Consider the following 23222-nt stretch of genomic DNA (forward strand, 5'->3'; position numbering starts at 1 on the left):
AGGCTGGAGGGCAATAGCACGATCTTGGCTCACTGCAACCTCCGCCTCCCAGGTTCAAGGGATTCTCTTGCCTCAGCTTCCTGAGTAGCTGGGATTACAGTTGCACGCCAACACTCCCAGCTAATTTTTTTTTCTTTTGTATTTTTAGTAGAGATGGGGTTTTACCATGTTGGCCAGGCTGGTCTCGAACGTCTGACCTCCGGCTATCCACCCGCCTTGCCCTCCCAAAGTGCCGGGATTACAGGCGTGAGCCACTGCACCTGGCCTGCTTTTGAAATAGGACGTAGGGATTGAGGGAGGGTTAGGATTTCAACGATGGCTTTAACAGAAGAAGAGAAGATGCTGAAAGTCCGGCTTATTTGAACTGTGTGTGTGTGACTTTGAATTGCGTCAAATGCCATCTTGGTGAACAGTTGGAGGGGCCCTCAGGATGCCCTGTGACGCGCAGGTGTGACTTTGAATCGCGTCAAAGACCGTCTTGGTGAATAGTCAGGGGCCCTCAGGATGCCCTGTGACGCGCAGGCAGGAAATTATGATGGTGTGTTTCAGGTATGCAAACTGCACCAGAGGCAACACAAAAGCAAGTCAATATAAAAAGACTCAATGCCTTGCATGCCTTTGTTATATTCTCACGTAATCTTCAATCTTCTGTTCATGACTTTGTTTTGAAACACTTTTAAAATGTAAGATTAATTAACTTGTAGGCTGTGGGAATAATCCCATTTGCCGAATCAAAATAATGTATCCTTGATTCCAACTGTCAGAAGACAAAATTACAAAACATTTAGTTATAGATCTGATTGGATTTTAATTACAATTCCTTAACGGGGCAGCGTCCGTTCTACATAATGAGAGCTCCCACTGGGCAATGGCAGAACAGTCAGTTTTGTAAGGTGGAAGCAAGGAAACAGAATAAGAAGCTGATGGTGAACTTCAGGTTACTTCAGGTTACTTCAGGTTACTTCTTTGTAGAGGGTAAAGCAGAGGGGACTTTGTCACTTGCTGACTCAGGTCAACAGAATCTCCTATTTTTGAGAAAAACCGGTCTGTTTTGGGACCTGTCACTTCTTTAAAGTTCCATTTTGGTGACGTGGCATTGAGCAGGAGCAACTCCATTCCTGTTTGGTCTGGTCTGTTGGGGCCTAGTGCTGGAGCTCAGTCCAAAACAACAGTCTCCCATAATTTAAAAAAAAGTATTTCCATTTCATTTCTGGAAATTCAGCCTAAGAAAGTCATATCCCAAGTGCCCACAATCATATCAGAATGTTCTTTGCAGCAGTATCTGTTGTAGCAATGAAAACATCTCAAGTCTGTGGATAAGGGATTGATCAAATACATTAATGACCATTCTGTTAATGGAAAGACCAAAGTCTGTAAACTATTTTAAAGAGGTTTATTCTGAGCCTGTCTAAGTGACTGTGGGCTGGGGAAACAGAGTCTGAGAAGGTGCACCTGAGGCAGTCAGATCACAGTTTGGGTTTGTATATTTTAGGGAGACAGGACTCACAGGCAAAGCCACAAATCGGTACATGGAAGGTATACATTGGTTTAGCCCAGAAAGGTGGGATTTCTTGAAACGGGTGTCACAGGCCATAGGTGGAGTCGGAGATTCTTCAGTGTGCGATTGGTTAAAGCAGTAAAGCTTTGTTGAAAGCCTGGAGCCAGTGGAAGGGAGTGTTTAGATGAGGAAACCCACGCCCGACGCGCAGGGTCAGGGTTACCTGTGGGGTGCGTTCACCTTCGTCTGCTGTGGCCGCGGGTCCCGTGAGCCTGGGTTGAGGCAAAGAGGTTGTGGAGACCGGGGCTTTATCACGCAGATGAAGCCTCTGGGTAGAGTCTGTTTGTTTTTTTTTTAATTTTTTTGAGACGGAGTCTCGCTCTGTCGCCAGGCTGGAGTACAGTGGCATGATCTCAGCTCACTGCAACCTCTGCCTCCTAGGTTCAAGCGATTCTCCTGCCTCAGCCTCCTGAGTAGCTGGGACTACAGGTGTGCACCACCACGCCCGGCTAATTTTTGTATTTTTTGTAGAGATGGGGTTTCACCGTGTTGGCCAGGCTGGTCTCGATCTCTTAACCTTGTGATCCACCTGCCTTGGCCTCTCAAAGTGCTGAGATTAGTCTTCCGTGATGTCTACTTTGACATCAGTACCTAAAATCCAAATGGGAGGGGCCAGGCGTGTTCAACCTCCCTTATGTCGTGGCCGAGAATTCAGTTTTGAAGTTGCCTCTGGGGTTCCTTTGGCCAAGAGGGGTCCATTCTGTTAGTGGGGGCCGAGCTGGAATTTGGCTCTTGAAGTCAGAAGGTGAACCACAGGCCACAGTCCGCAGCCTCCAGGAGCTACTGCCGCCAGCTGAGGGCCACAGTTGCTGATCGGGAAAGGGTGTATGTAAGGCCAGTCCTCTGTCCGGTCAGAAGTGGAAGGGTCTGGGTTGTAAATCAGAGTTAGGGTCCGATTGCTCCTCTCATTAGGGAGTTGGAGTGTGTTTTTTTCTTGTAGCCTTAGGAATTTAGGAAGTTGCTGGAACCCTCTGCCCCGCAGGTAACTTTTGTTTCCTTAGCGTTAGGGTCCATCTTAGTCAAGAAAACTGTTTGTTTTGGTCTCTTAGATCACAAATGTTACGGGAAAGAAGCAGGAAGGAAGGCTGAAAAGAGAAAACGTACCTTTGCTCACTAAGCACTAAGAACAAAGAGGCTTTGTTCTCTTGCGTGTGCATTTGGATATGTCGAGGGAAGCCGGGTACTCCAGGCAGGGCCCAGAGGTGGTGTCACCCTGGCAGCACACTGCAGCGGTCACTGCTGAAGACACAGAAACAGCTTCCCGTGTTCTTGGACTTGACATCAAAGATGGAACGGGGATGTGGCCTGGGAACGAGGAACGTGGAAGCCAGGAGTGAGGAAGTGGGAGGGTCCCACAAGACAGCAGAAGGGCCTGGGGTTAGTCCCGGGGTCAGTTGTGGGACGCTGGTGCTCCCTCTCCTCCACGGCTGGGCTTCCCGGGGTCATGAACCTGTCTCCTGCCCGCCTCTTCTGGCCCCCAGCGAATGACATTGCATATAACTGCTTTTTTAGAGTGTTAAGAAAAAGGCTGTTTCCCAAATTCAGATTAGTATGAGCAAAAAGAAGGAGACCACATAGGAGCCAGGATGTGAGGGCGACCAGGAGGTTCACCAGGCCGTCAGCACCGCAGCCGCTGGAGGCGCCAAGTGCAGGCCGTGGCAGACAAGGGGAGGCCGGCACACTGCCCACCATGGGAGCTGCTGGGTCATTTTAACTTAAATATCCTGGGGCCACATAACCCTGCAATCTGAAGGACGCTACAGTTTGCAAAAACCAAACTCTGTATCAGTGAAGGGTCCAACTCACAATATTTGAGGAGATTTATTCTGAGCCAAATATGAGTGACCATGGCCTGTCACACAGTCCTCAGGAGGTCCTAAGAACAGGTGCCAAAGTGGTCGGGGCACAGCTTGGTTTTATACATTTTAGGGAGACATGAGACATCAATCATTGTACAATGGTTTTGCCCAGAAATGCAGGACAGCTGTAAGTGGGCCGGCGGGGGGTAGGGGGACCGGGGAGGAGGGTGGGCCCGGGGAGAGGGGGGCGGCCAGGGGAGAGGGTTTCCAGGTTATAGGTAGATTTAAATTTTTTCTAATGGACAGTTGGTTGAAAGACTTATCAGTAGAAAGGAATGTCTGGGTTGGGGTAAAGAGGTTGTGGAGACAGGGCTTTATCAGGGTAGCGAGTTTCAGGGAGAATGAATAGATTGTAAATGTTTCTCAGTGGACTTCAGGTCTGTGCCAGCGTTTGTGCTGGTCAGCCTTTCCTGAATTCCAAAAGGAAGGAGGGGGTGAGGAGGCATCCGAGTCCCATCAGGGCCGGAAGCAGGTTTTCAGGATAACTTTGGAGTGCCCTTGGCGGAGAGGAGGGCTCCATTCAGATGGGTGAGGGCCCTTCAAATTTACTTTTGGTTTACATACGTAAAATACTTTAGAAAGATTTATTCTGAGACAATATGAGTGGCCGTGGCTTGGAAAAACACAAACCTGAGAACCATCGAGGAAGTGGTCCAAGGTGGTGGGGCTGGTTGGATGTTACACATTTCAGGGAGGCAGGAGTCATAGGAAAGACGTAAATCAATGAGTGGAAGGTCGACGTGGCTCAGCCGGAAAGGCAGGATGACTTGAAGTAAAGTAGGCGGATTCAGAAATGCTTTACTTTTTTCTTTTTAAGTATTTTTTTTCAGAGATTCTTTAATTTGCAGTTGATTAAAGGAGTAAGGTTCTATCTAAAACTTGGAGTCAACAGAAAGGAATGTTTAAGATAAGGAGGCCCTGTCAGAGTCAGCCACAGGGTCAAAGAGCCCTGTTTAGCAGGTCTGACGCCCGCAGGCGGGACTTAACCCTCATCTGTAATGGCACTGGGCCCTGTTTATAATTTGGCATCTTAGTGCCACAGAGTCTGGTTTTTTTTCTTCGATCCTGTGAGCGTGGGTTGAGGTAAAGAGGTTGTGGAGACCAGGGCTTTATCACGCAGATGATGTCTTATTGGTGTCTTATTGCCACAGAGTTCCCCACCTCCCCCCGCCCTCTTGTCATTCAGGCTGTTGTGCAGTGGCGCGATCTCGGCTCACTGCACCCTCCGCCTGCCGGGTTCAGGCTATTCTCCTGCTTCAGCCTCTTGAGTAGCTGGGATTACAGGCACACACCACCACACCTGACTAACTTTTGTACTTTTAGTAGAGACGGGGTTTCACAATGTCGGCCAGGCTGGTCTCAAACTCCTAACCTCAGGTGATCCGCCTGCCTTGTCCTCCCCAAGTGCTGGGATTACAGGCGTGAGCCACCGTGCCTGGCCAGAGTGTATTCTGTTTGTTTTATGATCTCTGTATTGATGTTAATGCTGGTCAGTTGTGTCTAAACCCCAAAAGGGAGGGGGTAGAAGGAGGTATGTGTAACCTCTGTCATGGCTGGGAGCTCAGTTTTTAAGATTTTTCTGGGGTTCCCTTGACCAAGAAGGGATCCATTCAGTCGGAAGGGGCTTAGGATTTTATTTTTAGTTTGCAAGTTGAATGTCTAGGCAGCTGACTGAAGGTTATTTGATGAAGCCAAATGCCTGGATGCTCCCAAAGTGTGCATATCTGGTCCTCTGTCTCGCCCGAAACCCGGAGGCCCTCAGGGCCTGTGGATTCCCGGGAACGCTCGTGTCACACGGGCTCGGGTGGCATGTGCGGGGACATACCACTTAATGTACATACAAGCCTGTCGTGTGGCGCAGTTGATCTCAACTTTTAAATAAAGAAGATGAGCATCGCCCCCTCCATCATCCCTGCCCACACCTCTCACCAGCGCCCACTGCCTGGGTGTGGACCAGCCCCTATCGTCCCCATCGCCCCCTTCGCCCCCTTCTCCCCCATCGCCCCCTTCACCCCCTTTGCCCCTATTGCCCCCTTCTCCCCCATCGCCCTCTTCGCCCCCATCGGCACCATCGCCCCATTCCGACACTGCATGCCCTGAGTTCAAGTGGACCCCACAGGTTATGGGCTCTGTCCCCCAAGACGGCCTGCTTCAGACACAGCTACAAGTCTCAGGGACCACCTACACTTCTGAGCACCTGCCATAAACGTCAGGGAGGGCCCTGTGACTCAGGGTTGACGATTTACTGGAAGGACTCGCGGAACTCAGGAGGTCACTGTGCTGAAGACAAGGGGCTTATGATGGTGGGAGCAATGTGATGGGTCCACTGGGAGCCCCCTGTCCCCGTGGAGCTGTCACGTGGCCCTCCTCCAGAACCGTGTATGTGCGGCAGCCAGGATTCGTGCATCCAGAGTTTCATCAGAGTCTCATCACTGCTTGGGGGTCTCATCACACTATTGGCCAAGAGATTGAGTTCAGTCTCCAGTGTCTCCCTTCTCCCCACAGGTCAGAGGTCAGGCTGGGGATGGAAGCTGCAGCCCTGTCCTGGGGTGAGGCCGGCCCCCCCCCAGGAAGCTGTTTGGGGCCCATCTTGAGTCTCCTCATTAGCATAAACTCAGGTGTGGTCCACAGGGGCTCTTGGTGAGCAACAGAAACACTCCTGCCATGTGGGAAATTCCAAGGGTCCTGAAGCATGCTGGGCACCGGAACAGAGGCCAGGTGTGTTCCTCATTCCACCACGGAGCCAGGGTCTGACCCAAGTGTTTCTGTTTCCAAAGGTGATCTGCCTTCCTCTGCTCCAGCCACCCCTGCGGCCATGCCTGTGGTCCCCTGTGTGGGCTGGGCTGTGGCCTTGGACCTGGTCCCCACGTCATTTTCTTCTCCCTTGGGGTGGATTGTCTGTGGGCCCGGTGTGGGACCAACAGCTGATGGCCGACGCCTCTTGCCGTAGGTTGCCGGCCATGCATACCTGGGGGAAGACTTGAACTCCATCCCTCTGTCAACCCTGTTCTGAGTCACAAGAGACACTGCAAACCCCCCTTGTGGGAGCTGACTCAGGCTCGGGCTGGGCTCAAGGCAGTGGGGTGGGGACAGACAGGTAAACCTGTGATCATGATACGATGTGGACCTCCCATGGCCAAGGTGAATCCCAAATGCTTTGGGAGCAGAGTGACCAAAAGAAGACCCCTGGGGAGCAGACGAGGTATGGGCAGAGGCATCACCCCCTCCACTCTCTCTGCTCTCAGCCCTCACCAGCCCACTGCCCGGGCATGCACCAGCCTCCTTCGCCCCCATCGCCTGGCCCCTGCCACCTGGGTTTCTCAGCCGCTGCCTTCACTCACCCCTCCCCACACCAGTCTGGAGTGATAGGCTGCGTCTGCACGCGGCTGGCTCTGCCTAGGTGCCCAGGAGTGACTGGCACAAGTGTGTGCTCTATGTGCTTAATGCCTCTAACGACCAAGTGTGGGAAGCTTTTCTCGTGTGTAGTAATGAAATAGCTCAGATGTAAGCAGAACAGATGCACCAGCCCTCCCATGCCCCAGCCAGTGAGTGTGTGGCTACAGCTGTGGCTGCAAAGTCCCCATCCCTGGAGTTCCTTGGACAGGAGAAGCTTCTATTTGTGGAGGATGACTAAGGACAACGTCCCTGAGGGTGGCCTGTTGGTTACAGGAAGCTGAGGTTTGGAACAGATCCCTGCGTGCAGGTGAGAACGATAGAAATGGGTGAAGGAGGCTGAGAGAGACTCAGGAGCCCCTCCCCGGCAGCTGAGGTGACGAGGGTGCCCCTGAAGGACGCCCTCAGAGCAAGGTGCTGGGGAGGGGGCGGGAAGCGGTGGCCCTGGGGCCTGCTCACCGCACCTCTGTGCCAAGCAAGCTTTGTGCTTTTAGTTTTCACCGACTCTGCTTCTGTAAACGCAGCTGGTGTCTAGGGAGTCACAATCGGTCCTTGAAAAGAGGAGGCTTCTCTGAAGGGAATAGTGTGTGTCACCAGGAGGTGTATGCCGGGGATGGGGCACGGCGTGCGTGCAGGGAGAGGGGCCAGGGGGCACAGTGTGCATGCAAAGAGAAGGCCCAGGGGGCACTGCATGCGTGCAGGGAGAGGAGCCAGGGAGGAAGCACGTGCGTGCAGGGAGAGGGGCCAGAGGGCACAGTCTGTGTGCAGGGAGAGGGGCTGGGGGCACAGCGTGCATGCAAAGAGAAGGCCTGGGGGGCACTGCATGCGTGCAGGGAGAGGGGCTGTGGGGAAACACAGTCTGCATGCAGGGAGAGGGGCCATGGGGCACCATCTGTGTGCAGGGAGAATGGCCGGGGGCAGTTGATAGGTGCTGGGGGACAGGCCTAAAGGCAGTTGTACTTCCGAGAGCTTTTCCCGGCAGATTCCCAGATCTGCAGGTGAATGAGGTGAAGGAGCCCAAAGGGGCCGTCTGGATGGCAGCTCCTGACCTTCTCCATCTGTGCTGCTGCCATGTCCTCTCTAATGCTCCAGCCGGGGGTGCTGCAGATGCTGGGGGACAGAAAACAGAGCCAATCAAATGCCTGGCTTTGCAAACTGGAAAAAAAAGTCCATTGCTTTTGCAATTTGAAGGGCTCACAGGAGCAGAAAATTAGTGGTGAAGAGTGTTATAAAATTATTGGATACAGTGCCTTAACCTGTAAACTTGAAGCTGAAAGTGTGCCATGAGAAAGGTACAAGCAGAATAAAAAATGCACCACCTAATGCTACTGTAGGTCCTCTGAATAAATAATTGTAAAGACATCTTCCTTGGGACATGGATAATAGGGAAAAATCTCACAGAAAACTGGGGACATTGCAAATTTTTTTTCTCATATACAGCTTTACAATTCTTGCATAGCTTATGCGAATTTCTTACTATAACTTGGGGTTGTAGGTAATAGTAAATCTGAACGCTGCTGCTGCTGCTTCTTTTTTTTTCTTGAGACAGATTGTTGCTCTGTCGCCCAGGCTGGAGTGCAGCAGCACAATCTGGGCTCACTGCAATCTCCGCCTCCCAGGGTCAAGCGATTCTTCTGCCTCAGTCTCCCAAGTAGCTGGGATTACAGGCATGTGCCACCATGCCTGGCTAATTTTGTATTTTTAGTAGAGATGGGGTTTCACCATGTTGGCCAGGCTGGTCTCAAACTCCTGACCTCAGGTGATCTGCCCGCCTTGGCCTCCCAAAGTGCTGGGATTAGAGGCGTGAGCCACTGTGCCCTACTGAACGCTGTTTCTAGTGATAACTTGCTGCTCTATTTTTAGCAAGTTTACTATATTTATTTACTTTATTCAACCAGCAATTACTGAGAATCTGCTATAGGCAGGTTCTGGGAACACAGGAAACAAAGCAAACAACAGAAATAAGAATTGGTCTTTTCCTGGTAGGAATTTAAAATCTAATGGGAGCAGCAGCAGTCTCTTTCCAAAAAAAAAAAAGATAAATGCCACAGGTGACTCTAGAGAACACTGCTTTTGTTCTTTGCACGTGAAGGAACCAGGCTGCCTGAGGTGTAGAGGCTCCACACACCATGCAGGGCCCGCACAGGCCCCATTTGGCAGGCAGAGGTAGTCCCTGCCCGTTTTCTTGAGGGCTGGTGGCTGCCTGGGAAATTCACCTGACACCAGATTGAAATGCAGATCGGCTTTCATCTGTTTCTGGAGCTAAACTCTGGCTTCGTGCAGCCTGCCACGCAGCTCGGGGACTCCGGCGCTGGGCGAGGAACTCGGCTCCAGGTGCATCTTGTTAAAGGCTGAGCCCCATTTCTCACATGCGTTGCGGAATCGAATTCTCCGTGTAACTCAGAACTCAGAGTGAATGAGAGATCGATACATGTAGGGTTCCAGCAAGGGCCGTGTCTGGTGAGCAGGGGAAAAACACCCCTTTTTCATAGACCAGGGACTGGCAACCTTTTTCTGAAAAGGGCAGATAGTGAATGTTGTAGGCTTATGGGGCCTTGAGGTCTGTGCACCTGCTCACATCTGCCATTGTAGCAGGAAAAAGGCCACAGAGAAAATGGAATGAGTGAGTGTGGCTGGTGCCAGTTAGCTTAATTTACAAAGCCAGTCACTGACCTTTACCCAGATAACTGGACTGGTGGACCCAACATGGAGGGGCCATGAGACCATGCGGCCCACCTCCCTGTGTTACCTGTATGTACCACGTTGTCAGTATCCACGCGTGGATGGGCCATGAGACTGCGGCCCGCCTCCCTGTGTTACCTGTATGTACCACGTTGTCAGTGTCCACGTGTGGAGGGGCCATGAGACTGTGCGGCCCGGCTCCCTGTGTTACCTGTATGTACCACGTTGTCAGTATCCACACGTGGAGGGGCCGTGAGACCGTGCAGCCCGCTTCCCTGTGTTACCTGTATGTACCGCGTTATCAGTATCCACGCGTGGAGGGGGCCGTGAGACTGTGTGGCCCGCCTCCCTGTGTTACCTGTATGTACCGCGTTGTCACTATCCACTCGTGGGGGGGCCGTGAGACCGTGCGGCCCGCCTCCCTGTGTTACCTGTATGTACCGCTTTGTCAGTATCCACGCGTGGAGGGGCCGTGAGACTGCGGCCCGCCTCCCTGTGTTACCTGCATGTACCGCCTTATTAGTATTCATGGACCTTTAACTACAAATATTCTGTGATCGCTTACCTCTGCTGTTCCTCTTCTCCTTGTCTATCTTGATATAGTTATGGACTGATTGGATTTATGGAATGGATATACAAACAGTTCAAAATTCAAAGCTAAGAGAAGAATACACAGTGGCTGCTGACCTCTGCTAGCGGCTTCCCTCCTGGGGGTGGCCCACTGCAAACTCCACCGTGGCCCTGGTGCATGTGACAAGCAAATGCAGTGATCAGAGGCTTGACTAAAGCAGGTTTTCACGTTGGCGACATTTAGGATGGTTAGTTTTTTAACACATTTAAAGCAAAGGCTTTGTTCTCTGTTGAGAGTCCAGGAAAGGATCCTGACGTCTTAAGAATCTGAGTGACAAAATCGGTGAACCTGAGTGAAAATTTAGAATTGGAAGACATTTCTGTTAGCGTATCATCCCGGGTGCTCCTGGACGCAGGACTCTCCACACGTCTGGTTGGCGGTCAGCTCATTTATGATTGAGCCTGACCTTATGACAGGCCACCTCGTTAACGATTGGATGTTGTTTTTATCACTCTTTACTACGTTTGCTTTCCCACCCCTGCTGTTTCCATGGGTTTATCCGACTCTGCCCACTGAGGCAGCACAGTCCCCTCGCCTTAGCATTGCGGGCCCAGAGTATCTAACGCGTCCGAGTGCGAACAGTGTCAGAAGGCACTGAGGCAGCGCGGTTCCCACCTCGGCATTGCAGGCCCAGAGTATCTAACGCGTCTGCGTGTGAACAGTGTCGGAAGGCACTGAGGCAGCGCAGTCCCCACCTTGGCATTGCAGGCCCGGAGTGTCTTACTCATCCGAGTGTGAACAATGTTGGAAGGCACTGAGGCAGCACAGTCCCCCCACCTCGGCATTGCGGACCTGGAGCATGTAACACGTCTGAGTGTGAACAGCGTCAGAAGGCACTGCCGCAGCGCTCCTGCTATTTTTAGCGTCCTGCTATCTTTAGCTGATAGAGTCAGGCCACGGTGAGGCCAGCAGGCCGCTGAATCTCACGGAGGCTTCAGAAGTTGTGATGCTGGCCCCTCAGCTTGCGGGAACTCTTCGAGGAAAAAAACGCGCAAACTGTTAATGTTGTCAGTGATTAATCTGATTGAAGCAAACGGGGAATGGTTGTTACTTTTAAATGGCTCCTGACAATGGTTTGGCCAGGGCTTAGATGTAACAGTAGTACTTACTTCTTCAATAGCCAAAGCTTGAACTTAGGAAAATGGGCAGCATAATTTTTAGTTACAGATTTGGGAGCTGGAAGGGTGCAGAGTCTCATCTCTGTGTCCATGCTAAGTGCAGCTTCTCATGATGGTGGAGGACGAGTTTCTTCATGGGAAATAAAAGAGCCCGTGGGAACCCTTCGCAGCGGCCCACATAGACCACGGACCACATGGGAGCCGTGGGGCTGGTGACCTGGAAGGGGGCATCCTGCAGTCACATGGCAAGGGCGACCTCGGAGGAGTCCAATCTGCCAGGACATGGGCAGCCGCAGAGCTTCTGTACCGGAGGCGATGCTGTTATCTTTATTTGTGTGGATCTGTGATTCATGTGGATCTGTGAAGCCTCATGGAGGCCGGAGGACGGGCATTGATGAGGGAAGGTGAGGCTGGCAAATTCCTGGCATGGAACAGTTTGTTCTCAAAGAGCCAGCTGAGCCCACAGCAGTTTTGTAATCTGGAACCTCGTGGCTGGCGTGTGATGTGATGAACTCCCCTGCTGATGCGTGAATAACTCCTGACACATCCCTGTTCTCTAGTAACACGGTGCTAGGCATGGGACACACAGCCGCTTCCCAGGAAACTCCACAGCGTGAGCACCGGGTGCCTGCGCAGGTGCGGGAGGATGGGGCTCCCGTGCGGAGTCTGCGCAGGGCCTCCTGGTGAAATTGCGCCCTTCTGGACACACTGCTGGGTCCATCACATGAGCCTACCATGGCAGATCATATATTTGTAAATGAACCTTAAAAGGTGAGGTTTTTAGGCTTTCAGATATTTGGGGGGAAAGGGTAGAAAACTGCCCCCAGGAGGCCTGAATGAATCAAGTCGTGCTGCAGAGCAGGGAGGATTTTCGGAATTAGATGCCGCTGTGACGGCAGCAGGTCGGTGGCAGGGTGGGAGGAAGTGTGTCTTCGGGCAGCACTTTCTCATGGGACAGGTGTTCTTTCCGTAGACAGTCTATTTATTTATTTATTTTTTGAGACGGAGTCTTGCTAAGTTACCCAGGCTGGAGTGCTGTGGCGCGATCTCTGCTCATTTGAACCTCTGCCTCCTGGGCTCAAGTGATTCTCCTGCCTCAGCCTCCTGAGTAGCTGGGATTACAGGTGCCCACACCACGCCCAGATAATTTTTGTATTTGTAGTAGAGACAGGGTTTCACCATGTTGGCCAGGCTGGTCTGGAACTCCTGACCTCCAGTGATCCACCCTCCTCAGCCTCCAAAATGCTCCAGTGATCCGCCTGCCTTAGCCTCCCAAAGTGCTGGGATTACAGGCATGAGCTACTGTGTCCGGCCTCCTATACAGTCTTTCTTAGATAAAACAGGAAGGGTTAGCTTTATTACTAAAGAAAACAGATTAGCTTTATTACTAAAGAAAACAGAAATGCCATCTAAGCAGAAATAGAAACTAAGTATCAGAACTCCCTTGATGACTGCGCCACACACTTCATTCCCACTCCATTCCCAGCCAGGAGTCCACAGCCCAAGTCTCATTCCAGCCAGCTGAGGTTCTGTAGTTGATAATCAATTGCACGGCACTCACTAGTTTTCTGTTTTATTTATGAGTAAAGTTTTAAGTGTGACGATGTAAGTGAAAATTCAAGAGTGGGAACTGGATGTGAATCAACTCATTGCCTATCGATGGCCCAGCAGGTACTGCTGTCCCCAAGGAAGGTGCGGGAGGAGACAGTAGGTGTCACTTATGTTCATGGCTGTCCCACGAGGCCTGTCACGTCCTATCCTATGAGATCCATCACATCTTATCCTGTGAGACTTACAACAACCTATGCTACGAACATATCACATCCTATCCTTCAAAAAATATCCCATCTTGCCCTACAAGCCTCTAGGAGCAGGTGCAGAAGTGCACGTGAGGAAGGGAGCAGTGGCCTGAGGGGTGCATGGGACAGTGGCAGTCCCAGCAGTGTGTGGGGTAAACCTACTAGATGGTGGAGAAATGGGGGCGGGGGGGGGCAGGTGGCCCATGTTCCGGTGTGGGAAGGCATAGCGTGCGGGCACTGGCCTCCCCAGGTGAGACAGTGGCCCGCAGCGGCATCCTGTGCATACCTGCACCTACGGTGTTGTGCAGTGAGTAAAAGGCTCCGGCATGAGTTCGGTCCTGTCGGGAAGTTGGTTGGGAGTTTTAGGGACGTGGCAATAACTGCGTCCCAAGCAGCTCCTCCATTCAGGGCCCGTGACGGTCTGGAGTCGGAGGAGCCACAGACCACCTTCTGGTTCCTCCATTGCACTCAGGTGGGCAACTTTAAACGTTTCTAAGTTAAAACAAAGTCTAACTTACTGTAGAATAGAATGAAAACTTGGCATAAAAATGTAAGAATATATACAAAAACTAAAAGAAATAATGTGTTGTAGTGGGTGATTAGAGGTCCTGGGCCAGTGAGTCTCTCTCTCCCCATCCTCTTCTTTCCTACTCCCTGCTTCCCTCTCTCTCCAGCTGTGTCTCTCTCCATCTCTCTCTCTCCAGCTCTGTCTCTCTCCAGCTCCATCTCTCTCCAGCTCCATCTCTCTCCAGCTGCATCTCTCTGCATTTTCTCTTCTGGCCTTTGTGGTTAAACTTGAGAATAAAAATAAAAGCACTTACAAATTTATTTTATGACCATATCTGCCTCTAGTTTGTTTGTTTGTTTATTTATTTTGAGACAGAGTCTCGCTTTGTTGCCCAGGCCGGAGTGGAGTGGTGCGATCTCGGCTCACTGCAACCTCCCCCTCCCAGGTTCAAGCGATTCTTACGCCTCATCCTCCCGAGTATCTGGGACTGCAGGCGCACGCCACCATGCCTGGCTAGTTTTTATATTTTTTTGTCGAGATGGGGTTTCGCCATGTTGGCCAGGCTGGTCTTGAACTCCCGACCTCAGGTGATTCACCTGCCTCGGCCTCCCAAGGTGCTGTGATTACAGGTGTGAGTCACTGCACCTGGCCTCTGCCTCTAGTTTAATTAGTGCTTATGTTTTATTTAGGTGGCAGGTGTTGAATTACAGTTTTGATTAAAACCCTTCTATTTTAGAGTTGGAGCAATAGACACAGGTTTACAAGTTATTTATATAAAGATTTCTGTACATGTTTTTGTTCTAAAAATACATTTCATTGTTAAATTGGGCATTAGAAGCACAATGATACATTTCTTAAAGAACTAATTATACAGGCAAACACTATTAATATTTAACAAGGCATCTGTTTTTCTCCTTGTCCATGCGCTTCCCCACAAAAGCAGAGAGGGGAAGCTGAATATGGCTTGGGGGCACACGGCGCGGGGCACAGCATCTCCACTTTACTTAAAGATGAGCAGTGGGTGGAGGATTCAGGCGCACTGAGCATGCAGGGCACTCACAGGATCCTGCTGTGCAGATGCAGGATCCGCAGTGGGGACAGGATGGATAGGACTGTAGAGCTTGTTTGATGCAGAGATTCTAGGCAGGAATGTGAAAGCCTCAGGTGTTAAGTTTCACTGTTTTTACTAACACTGGATATTAACAATTTAAAACACCTTTGACATATTTTCATTTGTATTTCATGTCTTGATGGTTAAGAGTTGAGCTGTTGAGCCTAGTTCTATTGTTGACTGGCTTTCTGCTGAAAAGCTAACAGGTTAAATGGTTTGTTAAATCCAGAACCTTCGAGGTAGGCCCACATTATCACATTAAACTCACAAGTGTGGATCACAAGTGAAGGAGTATTGCACAGAATGTTTTTTCCTTTCCTTATAAAATGCATTAGTCTATGCAAATACAACTTTAGGGGAAAAATAATATATTTAAAATATATTAAGTTTATCCTATATTTATATATTTTGGTTTCTGTTTTGTCTAAGAGCTCCAGAAATTCCTTGCTGACATTGTCCAAGTCAGTGGACAGCCAAATCTCATTTTTCTGACTCAATTCTGTGATTCTTATCTTCAGAGCTGCTTGGATTATTTAGCAGTGGTTCTCTCTTTCCTTTTCTTTCCAATCTTAAATTAGCAGTTCTATGTTTCACTGATCGGTCATTTGTCAAACAAATACTCATTGAGTTTCTATTAATACCATTACACCAGGCTTTTGTGTTACTTAGTTATCGAGAAAATGATTTCATCCGGGTTAATGAGCTAAAATGGCACAGTAGACAGTGAGCCACCAGGAGAGTGAGTGCTCCTGGGCTTCACTAACTGTGCTGCTTCCAGCTGATAATGAGGTTTTGTTTGAGAAACTAAGCCCTCTGGACGTGGCCTCCCAGCAGGATGGACATGCGAGCTCAGCTGTTCCCCTGCTTGGCTTTTAATTGGTGCTGGGATGAGGCAGGTGCAGGGGGCGGGGGTGAGGGGCAGGGAAAGAACCTTGAAATACTTGAGAAAAGGGCCTTTCCTGCAACTTGGTTAAGAAACCGTTGCAAGCACAATAATATTGGGCTGAAAGAGGTTGGTCTTCATGGAATTTTAGTAACCCAAAGTTTAAGACAGGAGTGAAATTTCTTGTCTTTATTTCTAATTTGCAAACTGGAAAAGTGAGTCTGGGCAGAAATTGGGTTTCTAGTGCCTGTCAGTGACCTCAGCCATCAACCGCCGAGGAACTGCAGGCTGCCCGGAGAGTCAAACCCTGACTGTATCGGACTCAAAAAATAAATATCAGTGACAAATGCAGACTTCGAAAATGTGACCCAATGCTTTCACACTCCTGTACTTTTCATAAATTAGTGGTTTTCAAAGTGGATAGCAATATGAATATTTCTCTTTTTCAGTGATACTGTTTTTCTCGACACCACAAAACTATCCTATACCCTGTACTTGGCTCACCTGCCCTCATAGCCGCACTTGGGGGGGATCACTATGGTGCCTGGTGGGGTGGCAGGTGCCTCCTCCTGAGGCAGCAACCCCAAAAGGTAAGCATGGTTCTGCCCACGCCCCCATTTCCAGCAGGCCTTGTCAGCGGTAGGACCATGAATACCGACTGGTGAGGGGGAGTGCCAGGAGACAGAGAAGACGGCTGCCCACTGGGGCTTCTAGTCTCCCTTCCAGGAAGGATTTGAAGTAGCTGACACAATTAAACACAACATAAAAGAGGACTTTTTTTAAAAAAAGAAAAAAGCTGAGAAAAATGTTAGCAGACGTCTGGGATGGATTTAGCTGTGCATTTTCTGGCAGTGAAGGTAAAAAAGGAAATCTCCATCTGGGTCTAATAAAAGGCACTCCATAGATACACTGGGGAAAATAAACTTTTTCATTCAAGGGAGAATTAATTATAGAAGGACACTGGGAAATCTAAATACCATAAACGGGTTTTGCTAACGTTTCAAGAATGTTGAGATTGAGTTTTTTTCCGTTAAATAAAAAGTTGATTTCTTTGAGTGCCCCGAAAGCCGGGCATTGCATGGCAGCCCAGCGATATAGCCTTCCGCGTGGCTGATGGAGGCTGTTTCCAATTGCCTGAGCTCACACAAGGGCAGGAATTACAGAACCCACAGCCGTGATTTCTACGGGTTTGTCAACAGAACTCCTTCTCAAAGCATTTTATTTGTATAAATTTATAAATTCCAAGTCTTAACATTACTTAGTATGAATTCAGTGAAAAAGTAAGACTTTAGTGAACACAAAATCTGAAGCGAGAGGTTGTGATGCTTGCTGGAGTCAATCTGTTCATTTCCAGGTTCTGTTTTGGTTGCATTGTGTAGAGGAAACCTTCACTCGCGCAGATAAGAAGTGCTAAGTGGTCACAGGGCTTAGAATCCTGCACCGTGCATCCTCAAATAGCTCCAGAACCTTGACAGAGGCATTACAGAGTTGAACTCACCAGCCATTGCGTGATTCACCTAACATCGCTTACATTTCTCAGTGTAAAGTTAAGCAGCGCACCAAACCTTTCAGCAGTCGCTAAGTTGGGCTCAGCACTAAGGAGCACCTGACTTTTCCGAGGTGCATCCATAAGTCCCATGGTCCGTGTGCTCCTCCATGCCTCCGTGTGCGCATGCTCTGCTGCCGGGCCACCTCCCGCACCTCCGTCTGCACATGCCCAGAGCCTATGCAGAGCCTCCGTATGCGCATGCTCAGAGCAGGTGCAGGGCCTCCTCCCGTGCCTTTGTGTTCGCGTGCCCAGAGCAGGTGCAGAGTCCCTTTGACCTTGCTTAAGGAGCGCACAGGTGTGGACCATGGTGCCAGGATGCGGGTTGTGAGGGTAGCATGGACAGAGGGTGAGAACTCGAGCCCTGATCCAACCACACTGTTTGAACTTGACCCTATCACTTAGCACATGTTTTAACTTTGGCACGTTATCTATTTTTTCTTAGCTTCAGTTTGCTTGTCTCTAAAACGGGGATTATATGGCACCTTCATGGGAGTTGCATGATGATCAATAAGAAACCCATATAGAGCTGCTAAATAGTGTCTGACACATAGGAACACACACAAAAAATCAGCTAACTTTATAGGAAAAGATGTTATCACTGTGTTTTCTGGGGTGGCCTGGAGCTTTCCTCCTGCGGTAGCATCTCAGCAACGAAGCGTTATCTTACATGTGCTTCACGTTCTACAATATAAGGGGGCCTGAGCCACTGATGCTGTTCAGCCAGGAGCACCAGGCAGGTGAAAGAGAAGAGAGCTGCTGATGAGAAGTCCTGATCTTTCTCCTCCCAGTTAAATTAAAATGTGTGTTGTTTCCAGCATGCCAGAATTATATTTATAATACAATTGAGTGTGCAGGTTTTCTATATTGAGTACATTTTGGAAATCTGTCCCCTAGTGGCATGCATCTAATGCACTGTCCATTTTAGGCAGAGATGACAACAAACAAATATATTACTAAACTTACATTGAGACTAAAATTAAAATTAAACTAGATTTAAATTAAAAACTTTTGTGCTTCAAAGGACGCCATTATGAAATTGAAAAGAAAATCCACAGGACGGGAGAGAGGATTGGCAGAGCGCAGGTCTGGTCAGGGATTTGTATCCAGGGCAGCGTTGGAAGGCTGTGGAGCTGTGGGAACCCATATGTGCCTCTGGTGGGAGCATTCAAAACCATTTCAGAAAACTGTTTGGCAGTTTCCAGTAAATATATGCTCCTGGAAACAACCCACATGTCTATCAACAGTAGAAAAAAACAAAAATAAATCGTGAAATGTTCACATTAAATAAAATGAACAAACAACATGGGTGACTTTTGACAGCCTAAACAAGGAAAAGAAGCCAGACAGGAAGAGTATGTTATAAGATTCATTGATGTGAGGTTCAAAGCTGGGCACTCCTGGGGGATGGAGGCAGAGGTCAAAGTGGATGAGACCTTGGCAGGTGGGAGGGTCCACAGTCACAACAGGGGCATCTCAGATGCTGGTGATGCTGTGTTTCTTGGCCCTGATGACAGTGGTTACCCAGGTGAAGGCTGAGCCGCACACCCAGGGCAGGTTAGGCACTTTGTGAGCAAGTTATCCTTCGGTGAAATGTTCGTTAAAACAGATCATGACTCATGTGGCGTTAAATATTACAGGGAAACCTCCAGAAGGGATGGGCTTCCAGGGACGGTTTGGCAAGGGCCAGCTATGCTGAGCTGCCGTGGTCATAAAGACCAGAAGGAGAGGAGGGAAGGGGCTGGGCTGAGGAACAGCATGGGCAGAGGCCCCAAGACAGGACTCAGCTTGGCTGTGTCTGAGGAGCCATCAGACAGGGAGGTCACCGAGGGCCTCGTCTGCCTTCTCCTTTTATCTGAGTGGATGGAAACCTCGGAGGGTTTTGAGAAGAGGACAAAACAAGCAGGCTGTAAGGTTACATGGTCACTCTGGTTTGTATTGAGAATAACTGCAGTGGGCTCAGTGGTGAGCTCAGGTGGAAGCAGCTCCGTGTCTTGGATTGACAAACACAGGTTTGCTGCCAGTGCTACAGCGGTCAGCCTGGTCCTGTGCCTCCATAACTGGCCTCTCTGCTTTTTCGTGGTGCAGGGAAATGCTGCTTCCGGAAGCCCATTCATAGTCTCCTCTGTAGCCTGGAATTGACCCTTGAAGAGTTCACAGGTCCTCTCCCTCAGCCCTTTTACTTTTTTCTGAACCCAAGCTATGGTCAGAAGCACTCAACATTCCCATATCTGTTCAGCGCCGGCTTCCCAAAGCTCTTTGCCTCGGGTTGAAATAGCTCCAACTTGGGCTGGGCACAGTGGCTTATGCCTATAATCCTAGCACTTTGGGAGGCTGAGGCAGGCAGATCATTTGAGGTCAGAAGTTTGAGACCAGCCTGGCCAAACATGGTGAAACCCCGTCTCTACTAAAAATACAAAAATTAGCCAGGTGTGTTGGTGGGTGCCTGTAATCCCAGCTACTCGGGAGGCTGAGGCAGGAGAATTGCTTGCACCCAGGAAGCAGAGGTTGCAGTGAATTGAGATCACGCCACGGCACTCCAACCTGGACGACAAGAGTGAAACACCGTCTCAAAAAGAAAAGAAAAGAAATAGCTCCAACTTAAAGTGTTAGCGACTCAGAAAAGTATTTACCCCTCTGCTCGTAGAGTATTGAACGAACCTGAGATTATTGCCATAATTTACTGCAAATAGGAAAAGCAATGTGAGCTGGGGACATTTTGCTTGTTTCTTCTCACCAGAGCAGTGCCGCAGATAAGCCGACTGGCTTCATGCAGCGCAGAGCTCCTTTAAGCATTGTGGGACAGGTGGATCTGCCAAGCAGGAGCTTTCTGTGCTGGCCCAAGGCAATGTGGCTCAGTTCTAGCCCCTCTGACCCTATTCTGCTGCCGGTATGCCCCCACCCACCTGCCTCCCCGTCCCCCTCCTCCTCCCCCAGGTCCCAGCCGTCAGCCGTGTTGTTTTGCTCACTGTGGGATGACTGTTCCCATAGAGGCTGTTTCTCCTGCCCCGCCCCTACAGAGCCTCCCTTCTCGTGTCCCACTGTGAGTCTAGGTTGGCCCATGCAGTTCTGGGGCCTGCTGTATGTCTTCTTCCCCTAGTGAAACAGCAGATTCCTTGGGGTAGGAAGTGGCGTCTCACCTGTCTCACCTACTCCATGGAGCCTAGCAGAGGACTAAGTATACTGCAGATACTTAGGACTTACTTTATTGAGTTGACTGCAGAAAACACAGGGACAAATCATGGTGACCTTGGATTAGGCGATCTTTTCTTAGATATGGTATAAAAAGCATAAGCAACCAAAGAAAAAGATAGATAAATTGGACTAGATTAAAATTAAAGACTTTTGTTCCTCAAAGGACACCATTACGAAAGTGAAAAGAAAATCCACAGAATGGGAGAGAAGATTGGCAGAGAGTGGCTCTGGTCAGGCATTTGCATCCAGAAGACACAAAGAACTCTGTCAACTCATAACAAAATGATGCTCTAATCTAACCGTGGGCAAAAGATTTTAATTGGTGTTTTACCAAGGAGGAATACAAAGGGCCAGCCAATGAATGAAAAGATGGTCAACATTATTTGCATTTATTTACATTAGAGAAATGCAAATAAAAACTTTATGCTTCATACCCACTAAGAGGGCTGTAATAAAAAAGACAGACAATGAAGAGGTGTTAAGGAGGATGTAGAGGAGTTGGAAGTCTTGTGCATTGCTGGTTTGGAATGTAAAATGGTGAAGCTGCTCGGAAACACTTGGCAATTCCTCGAAATACAGGAATATGAAGAGTTACCAATATGCCCTGCAATTCCACGCCTAAATATGTCCTCAAAGCATTGAAAACACGCGTCCACACGGAAACTTTCACACAGATGTTCTTGTGTTCTTGGCAGCATTATTCATCATAGCCAAAGAGCGGAAGCATCTCAGATGCCCATCAGTAGACGAATGGGTAAACAATGTGATTTATCCTTACAATGGAGTAGTATTCAGCCACAAAAAGGAACGAAGTACTGATTTATGTACACCATGAATGAACTTTGAAAGCATGATGCTAAGTGAAGGAAGCTAGAAATAAAAGGCCACACGTTGTATGATTCTATTTATGTGACATGTCCAGAACTGGCAAATTTGTAGGGACAGAAAGTAGATTAATGGTTGGCAGGGGCTGGGGGAGGGGGCGTGGGAGCGACTGTAGGTCTTGTGCCTTCTTGGGATGATGAAAATGCTCTAGAATTAGATGGTGGTGACGATTGTGCAATTCTGTAAATGAACTAAAAAACCACTGAATTGTACATTGTAAAGGGTGAATTTTATAGCATGTGAATTCTCTCTCTCTCTCTCTCTCTCTATATATATATATATATATATAGATATCTATATGTATATATATTTTTTTGAGACGGAGTCTCGCTCTGTTGCCCAGGCTGGAGTGGAATGGTGCTATCTCGGCTCATTGCAACCTCATCCCAGGTTCAAGTGATTCTCCTGCCTCAGCCTCCTGAGTAGCTGGGATTACTGGCGCACCACCACACCCGGCTAATTTTGTATTTTTAGTAGAGACAGGGTTTCGCCATGTTGGCCAGGCTGGTCTTGAACTCCTGACCTCAGGTGATCCACCCACCTCAGCCTCCCAAAGTGCTGGGATTCCAGGCATGAGCTACTGTCTCGGCCCAAATCTTTCTTAAGTTGTGTCTGGCCTTTGGCAGAAATAGCCACAAAGCCAGGGTAGGAACGTTTTACTCTTCAAGTGATGATGGCATCCGATAACCTTTTAGAGGGAGGTTTTAAAATGCAACGTAGCCCAGGGCTCCAGAAAAAGACCTGCACGGAGAAGAGAGGGCTTTGTAGCTCTCAGCAGACAAGGCGTGCTGCCCAGGGAGCTCAGTTTTCACTGTAACTGGGTTGCACTGTCACCACCGGTCTCCTCCCCACAGATCCCACGGGAGGACTTCCTGTTGTGTAACATCCAGAGAAGCTTCTGGAAGCTGGGGAGCTCTGGCTGTGCAGGAAAGATCTAGCTGTTTTGTTGCAGAAGGCGCTCGCCATCAGGGTCCCGGGTCGTTGACCCACCCACTTCCGCTGCTGACGTCATGCTGCGCTCAGCGTTATTCAGGGCGGAATTTTCACTCGTCAGAAATGGATTTGGGAGCATTTTAAAATAGTGCGTTTTCAGAATTTTTGTGGTTGTCTGAGAACCAAACAAGCAAGGCACAGCACGGGTCTGAATCACTTACATGGGCCTTGTTTGCTTGTTTAGGTCAGTGTTTCTAATACTTTATATTTCTAATGTAAAGCCAAAGAAAGCCACAAAGAGATTTAAGATGTGGGTGGAAGTGCTCTGTTTGCTGTGTCTGTGTTTCCACAGAGCTTTATGTTTTTTTGGGAGGCTGGGGACTGGGGAGGTGAGGGACATGGAGCTGTAGTCGGGAGGGTTGGGCAGCCACACTGGGGGTGGAGAAGGTGGCCCGGTCCCTGCGGGGCTGTGGGGCAGGAGCTGTAGTCGGGAGGGTTGGGCAGCCACACCAGGGATGGAGAAGGTGGCCTGGTCCCTGCGGGGCTGTGGGGCAGAAGCTGTAGTCGGGAGGGTTGGGCAGCCACACTGGGGTGGAGAAGGTGGCCCGGTCCCTGCGGGGCTGTGGGGCAGATGAACTCTCTGGGGGCACCTGTCATGGTGGAGGGCAGAGAACAATGGTCCAGCACCATTACCCTGGCCTGGGCTGCTCCAGGCTGCCCGTTGCATCAGCGGTGGAGGGTGGAGGCACTAGCCAACTGGGGCAGGCCATAGCCTCACTGTGGGCTGGAGACTCCGTCCCTGTGCTGATCTGGGACAGGTGGGCTGCAGGGAGACTCAGGGGCCCGTGCTCCTTAGTCGTTTGTTCCCGCCAAGCCACCTCTCTCTCTGCCCATATTCAGTGGATGCCGGCTGTTTTTGTTTGTGGCTCTCTCTGCACTGTTTTCCATCTGCCTCTGTGCATCAGGGCCTTTAATGTTTTACCGGGTATTTTGAGCCTCACAGTGACTGTTCCGGGTCCAGGGGAGTAAAGAGTGCTCTGCTCCCTGTGGAGGTGTACTTCTCTTCCCCCAAAGATTGCTCCTCTTCCCCAGAGCGCTCCTCTTCCTCCATAGACTGCTCC

General features: G+C 49.7%; 1 protein-coding gene across 13 annotated transcripts in view, besides 15 other annotated features; it reads left to right on the forward strand.

Moving 5' to 3' along the window:
- ATP11A (ATPase phospholipid transporting 11A) overlaps positions 1 to 23222 on the forward strand; it is a 197131-nt gene that overhangs the window by 28676 nt on the left and 145233 nt on the right. The gene's annotated exons all lie outside the window — the stretch shown is intronic.
- Positions 736 to 1935: an enhancer, noted in NCBI's record as "BRD4-independent group 4 enhancer chr13:113373763-113374962 (GRCh37/hg19 assembly coordinates)". NCBI's record gives its function as "activates an origin of replication core promoter dependent on BRD2, P300/CBP, MED14 and CDK7 cofactors, and independent of BRD4, by STARR-seq in HCT116 cells {active_cell/tissue: HCT116}" and the evidence as "EXISTENCE:reporter gene assay evidence [ECO:0000049][PMID:35650434]".
- Positions 4508 to 5009: an enhancer, noted in NCBI's record as "H3K27ac hESC enhancer chr13:113377535-113378036 (GRCh37/hg19 assembly coordinates)". NCBI's record gives its function as "activates a minimal SCP1, AML or CMV promoter by ChIP-STARR-seq in naive H9 embryonic stem cells {active_cell/tissue: H9 hESC(naive)}" and the evidence as "EXISTENCE:reporter gene assay evidence [ECO:0000049][PMID:30033119]".
- Positions 5736 to 6315: an enhancer, noted in NCBI's record as "H3K27ac-H3K4me1 hESC enhancer chr13:113378763-113379342 (GRCh37/hg19 assembly coordinates)". NCBI's record gives its function as "activates a minimal SCP1, AML or CMV promoter by ChIP-STARR-seq in primed H9 embryonic stem cells {active_cell/tissue: H9 hESC(primed)}" and the evidence as "EXISTENCE:reporter gene assay evidence [ECO:0000049][PMID:30033119]".
- Positions 6316 to 6895: an enhancer, noted in NCBI's record as "H3K27ac-H3K4me1 hESC enhancer chr13:113379343-113379922 (GRCh37/hg19 assembly coordinates)". NCBI's record gives its function as "activates a minimal SCP1, AML or CMV promoter by ChIP-STARR-seq in primed H9 embryonic stem cells {active_cell/tissue: H9 hESC(primed)}" and the evidence as "EXISTENCE:reporter gene assay evidence [ECO:0000049][PMID:30033119]".
- Positions 6694 to 6743: an enhancer, noted in NCBI's record as "active region_8032". NCBI's record gives its function as "activates an Ori minimal core promoter by ATAC-STARR-seq in GM12878 lymphoblastoid cells {active_cell/tissue: GM12878}" and the evidence as "EXISTENCE:reporter gene assay evidence [ECO:0000049][PMID:35858748]".
- Positions 10146 to 10945: an enhancer, noted in NCBI's record as "H3K27ac-H3K4me1 hESC enhancer chr13:113383173-113383972 (GRCh37/hg19 assembly coordinates)". NCBI's record gives its function as "activates a minimal SCP1, AML or CMV promoter by ChIP-STARR-seq in naive H9 embryonic stem cells {active_cell/tissue: H9 hESC(naive)}" and the evidence as "EXISTENCE:reporter gene assay evidence [ECO:0000049][PMID:30033119]".
- Positions 12547 to 13346: an enhancer, noted in NCBI's record as "H3K27ac-H3K4me1 hESC enhancer chr13:113385574-113386373 (GRCh37/hg19 assembly coordinates)". NCBI's record gives its function as "activates a minimal SCP1, AML or CMV promoter by ChIP-STARR-seq in primed H9 embryonic stem cells {active_cell/tissue: H9 hESC(primed)}" and the evidence as "EXISTENCE:reporter gene assay evidence [ECO:0000049][PMID:30033119]".
- Positions 14148 to 14946: an enhancer, noted in NCBI's record as "OCT4-NANOG-H3K27ac-H3K4me1 hESC enhancer chr13:113387175-113387973 (GRCh37/hg19 assembly coordinates)". NCBI's record gives its function as "activates a minimal SCP1, AML or CMV promoter by ChIP-STARR-seq in naive H9 embryonic stem cells {active_cell/tissue: H9 hESC(naive)}" and the evidence as "EXISTENCE:reporter gene assay evidence [ECO:0000049][PMID:30033119]".
- Positions 15151 to 15884: an enhancer, noted in NCBI's record as "NANOG-H3K27ac-H3K4me1 hESC enhancer chr13:113388178-113388911 (GRCh37/hg19 assembly coordinates)". NCBI's record gives its function as "activates a minimal SCP1, AML or CMV promoter by ChIP-STARR-seq in naive H9 embryonic stem cells {active_cell/tissue: H9 hESC(naive)}" and the evidence as "EXISTENCE:reporter gene assay evidence [ECO:0000049][PMID:30033119]".
- Positions 15885 to 16617: an enhancer, noted in NCBI's record as "H3K27ac-H3K4me1 hESC enhancer chr13:113388912-113389644 (GRCh37/hg19 assembly coordinates)". NCBI's record gives its function as "activates a minimal SCP1, AML or CMV promoter by ChIP-STARR-seq in primed H9 embryonic stem cells {active_cell/tissue: H9 hESC(primed)}" and the evidence as "EXISTENCE:reporter gene assay evidence [ECO:0000049][PMID:30033119]".
- Positions 16751 to 17251: an enhancer, noted in NCBI's record as "OCT4-H3K4me1 hESC enhancer chr13:113389778-113390278 (GRCh37/hg19 assembly coordinates)". NCBI's record gives its function as "activates a minimal SCP1, AML or CMV promoter by ChIP-STARR-seq in primed H9 embryonic stem cells {active_cell/tissue: H9 hESC(primed)}" and the evidence as "EXISTENCE:reporter gene assay evidence [ECO:0000049][PMID:30033119]".
- Positions 16751 to 17416: a biological region, named in NCBI's record as "Sharpr-MPRA regulatory region 8271".
- Positions 17122 to 17416: an enhancer, noted in NCBI's record as "tiled region #8271; HepG2 Activating non-DNase unmatched - State 19:H4K20, and K562 Activating non-DNase unmatched - State 19:H4K20". NCBI's record gives its function as "activates a minimal TATA promoter and a strong SV40 promoter by Sharpr-MPRA in HepG2 and K562 cells {active_cell/tissue: HepG2 | K562}" and the evidence as "EXISTENCE:reporter gene assay evidence [ECO:0000049][PMID:27701403]".
- Positions 18325 to 18825: an enhancer, noted in NCBI's record as "H3K27ac hESC enhancer chr13:113391352-113391852 (GRCh37/hg19 assembly coordinates)". NCBI's record gives its function as "activates a minimal SCP1, AML or CMV promoter by ChIP-STARR-seq in primed H9 embryonic stem cells {active_cell/tissue: H9 hESC(primed)}" and the evidence as "EXISTENCE:reporter gene assay evidence [ECO:0000049][PMID:30033119]".
- Positions 18826 to 19326: an enhancer, noted in NCBI's record as "H3K27ac hESC enhancer chr13:113391853-113392353 (GRCh37/hg19 assembly coordinates)". NCBI's record gives its function as "activates a minimal SCP1, AML or CMV promoter by ChIP-STARR-seq in primed H9 embryonic stem cells {active_cell/tissue: H9 hESC(primed)}" and the evidence as "EXISTENCE:reporter gene assay evidence [ECO:0000049][PMID:30033119]".

The sequence above is a fragment of the Homo sapiens genome, chromosome 13 (genome assembly GCF_000001405.40).
Source record: "Homo sapiens chromosome 13, GRCh38.p14 Primary Assembly".
NCBI lineage: Eukaryota > Metazoa > Chordata > Mammalia > Primates > Hominidae > Homo > Homo sapiens.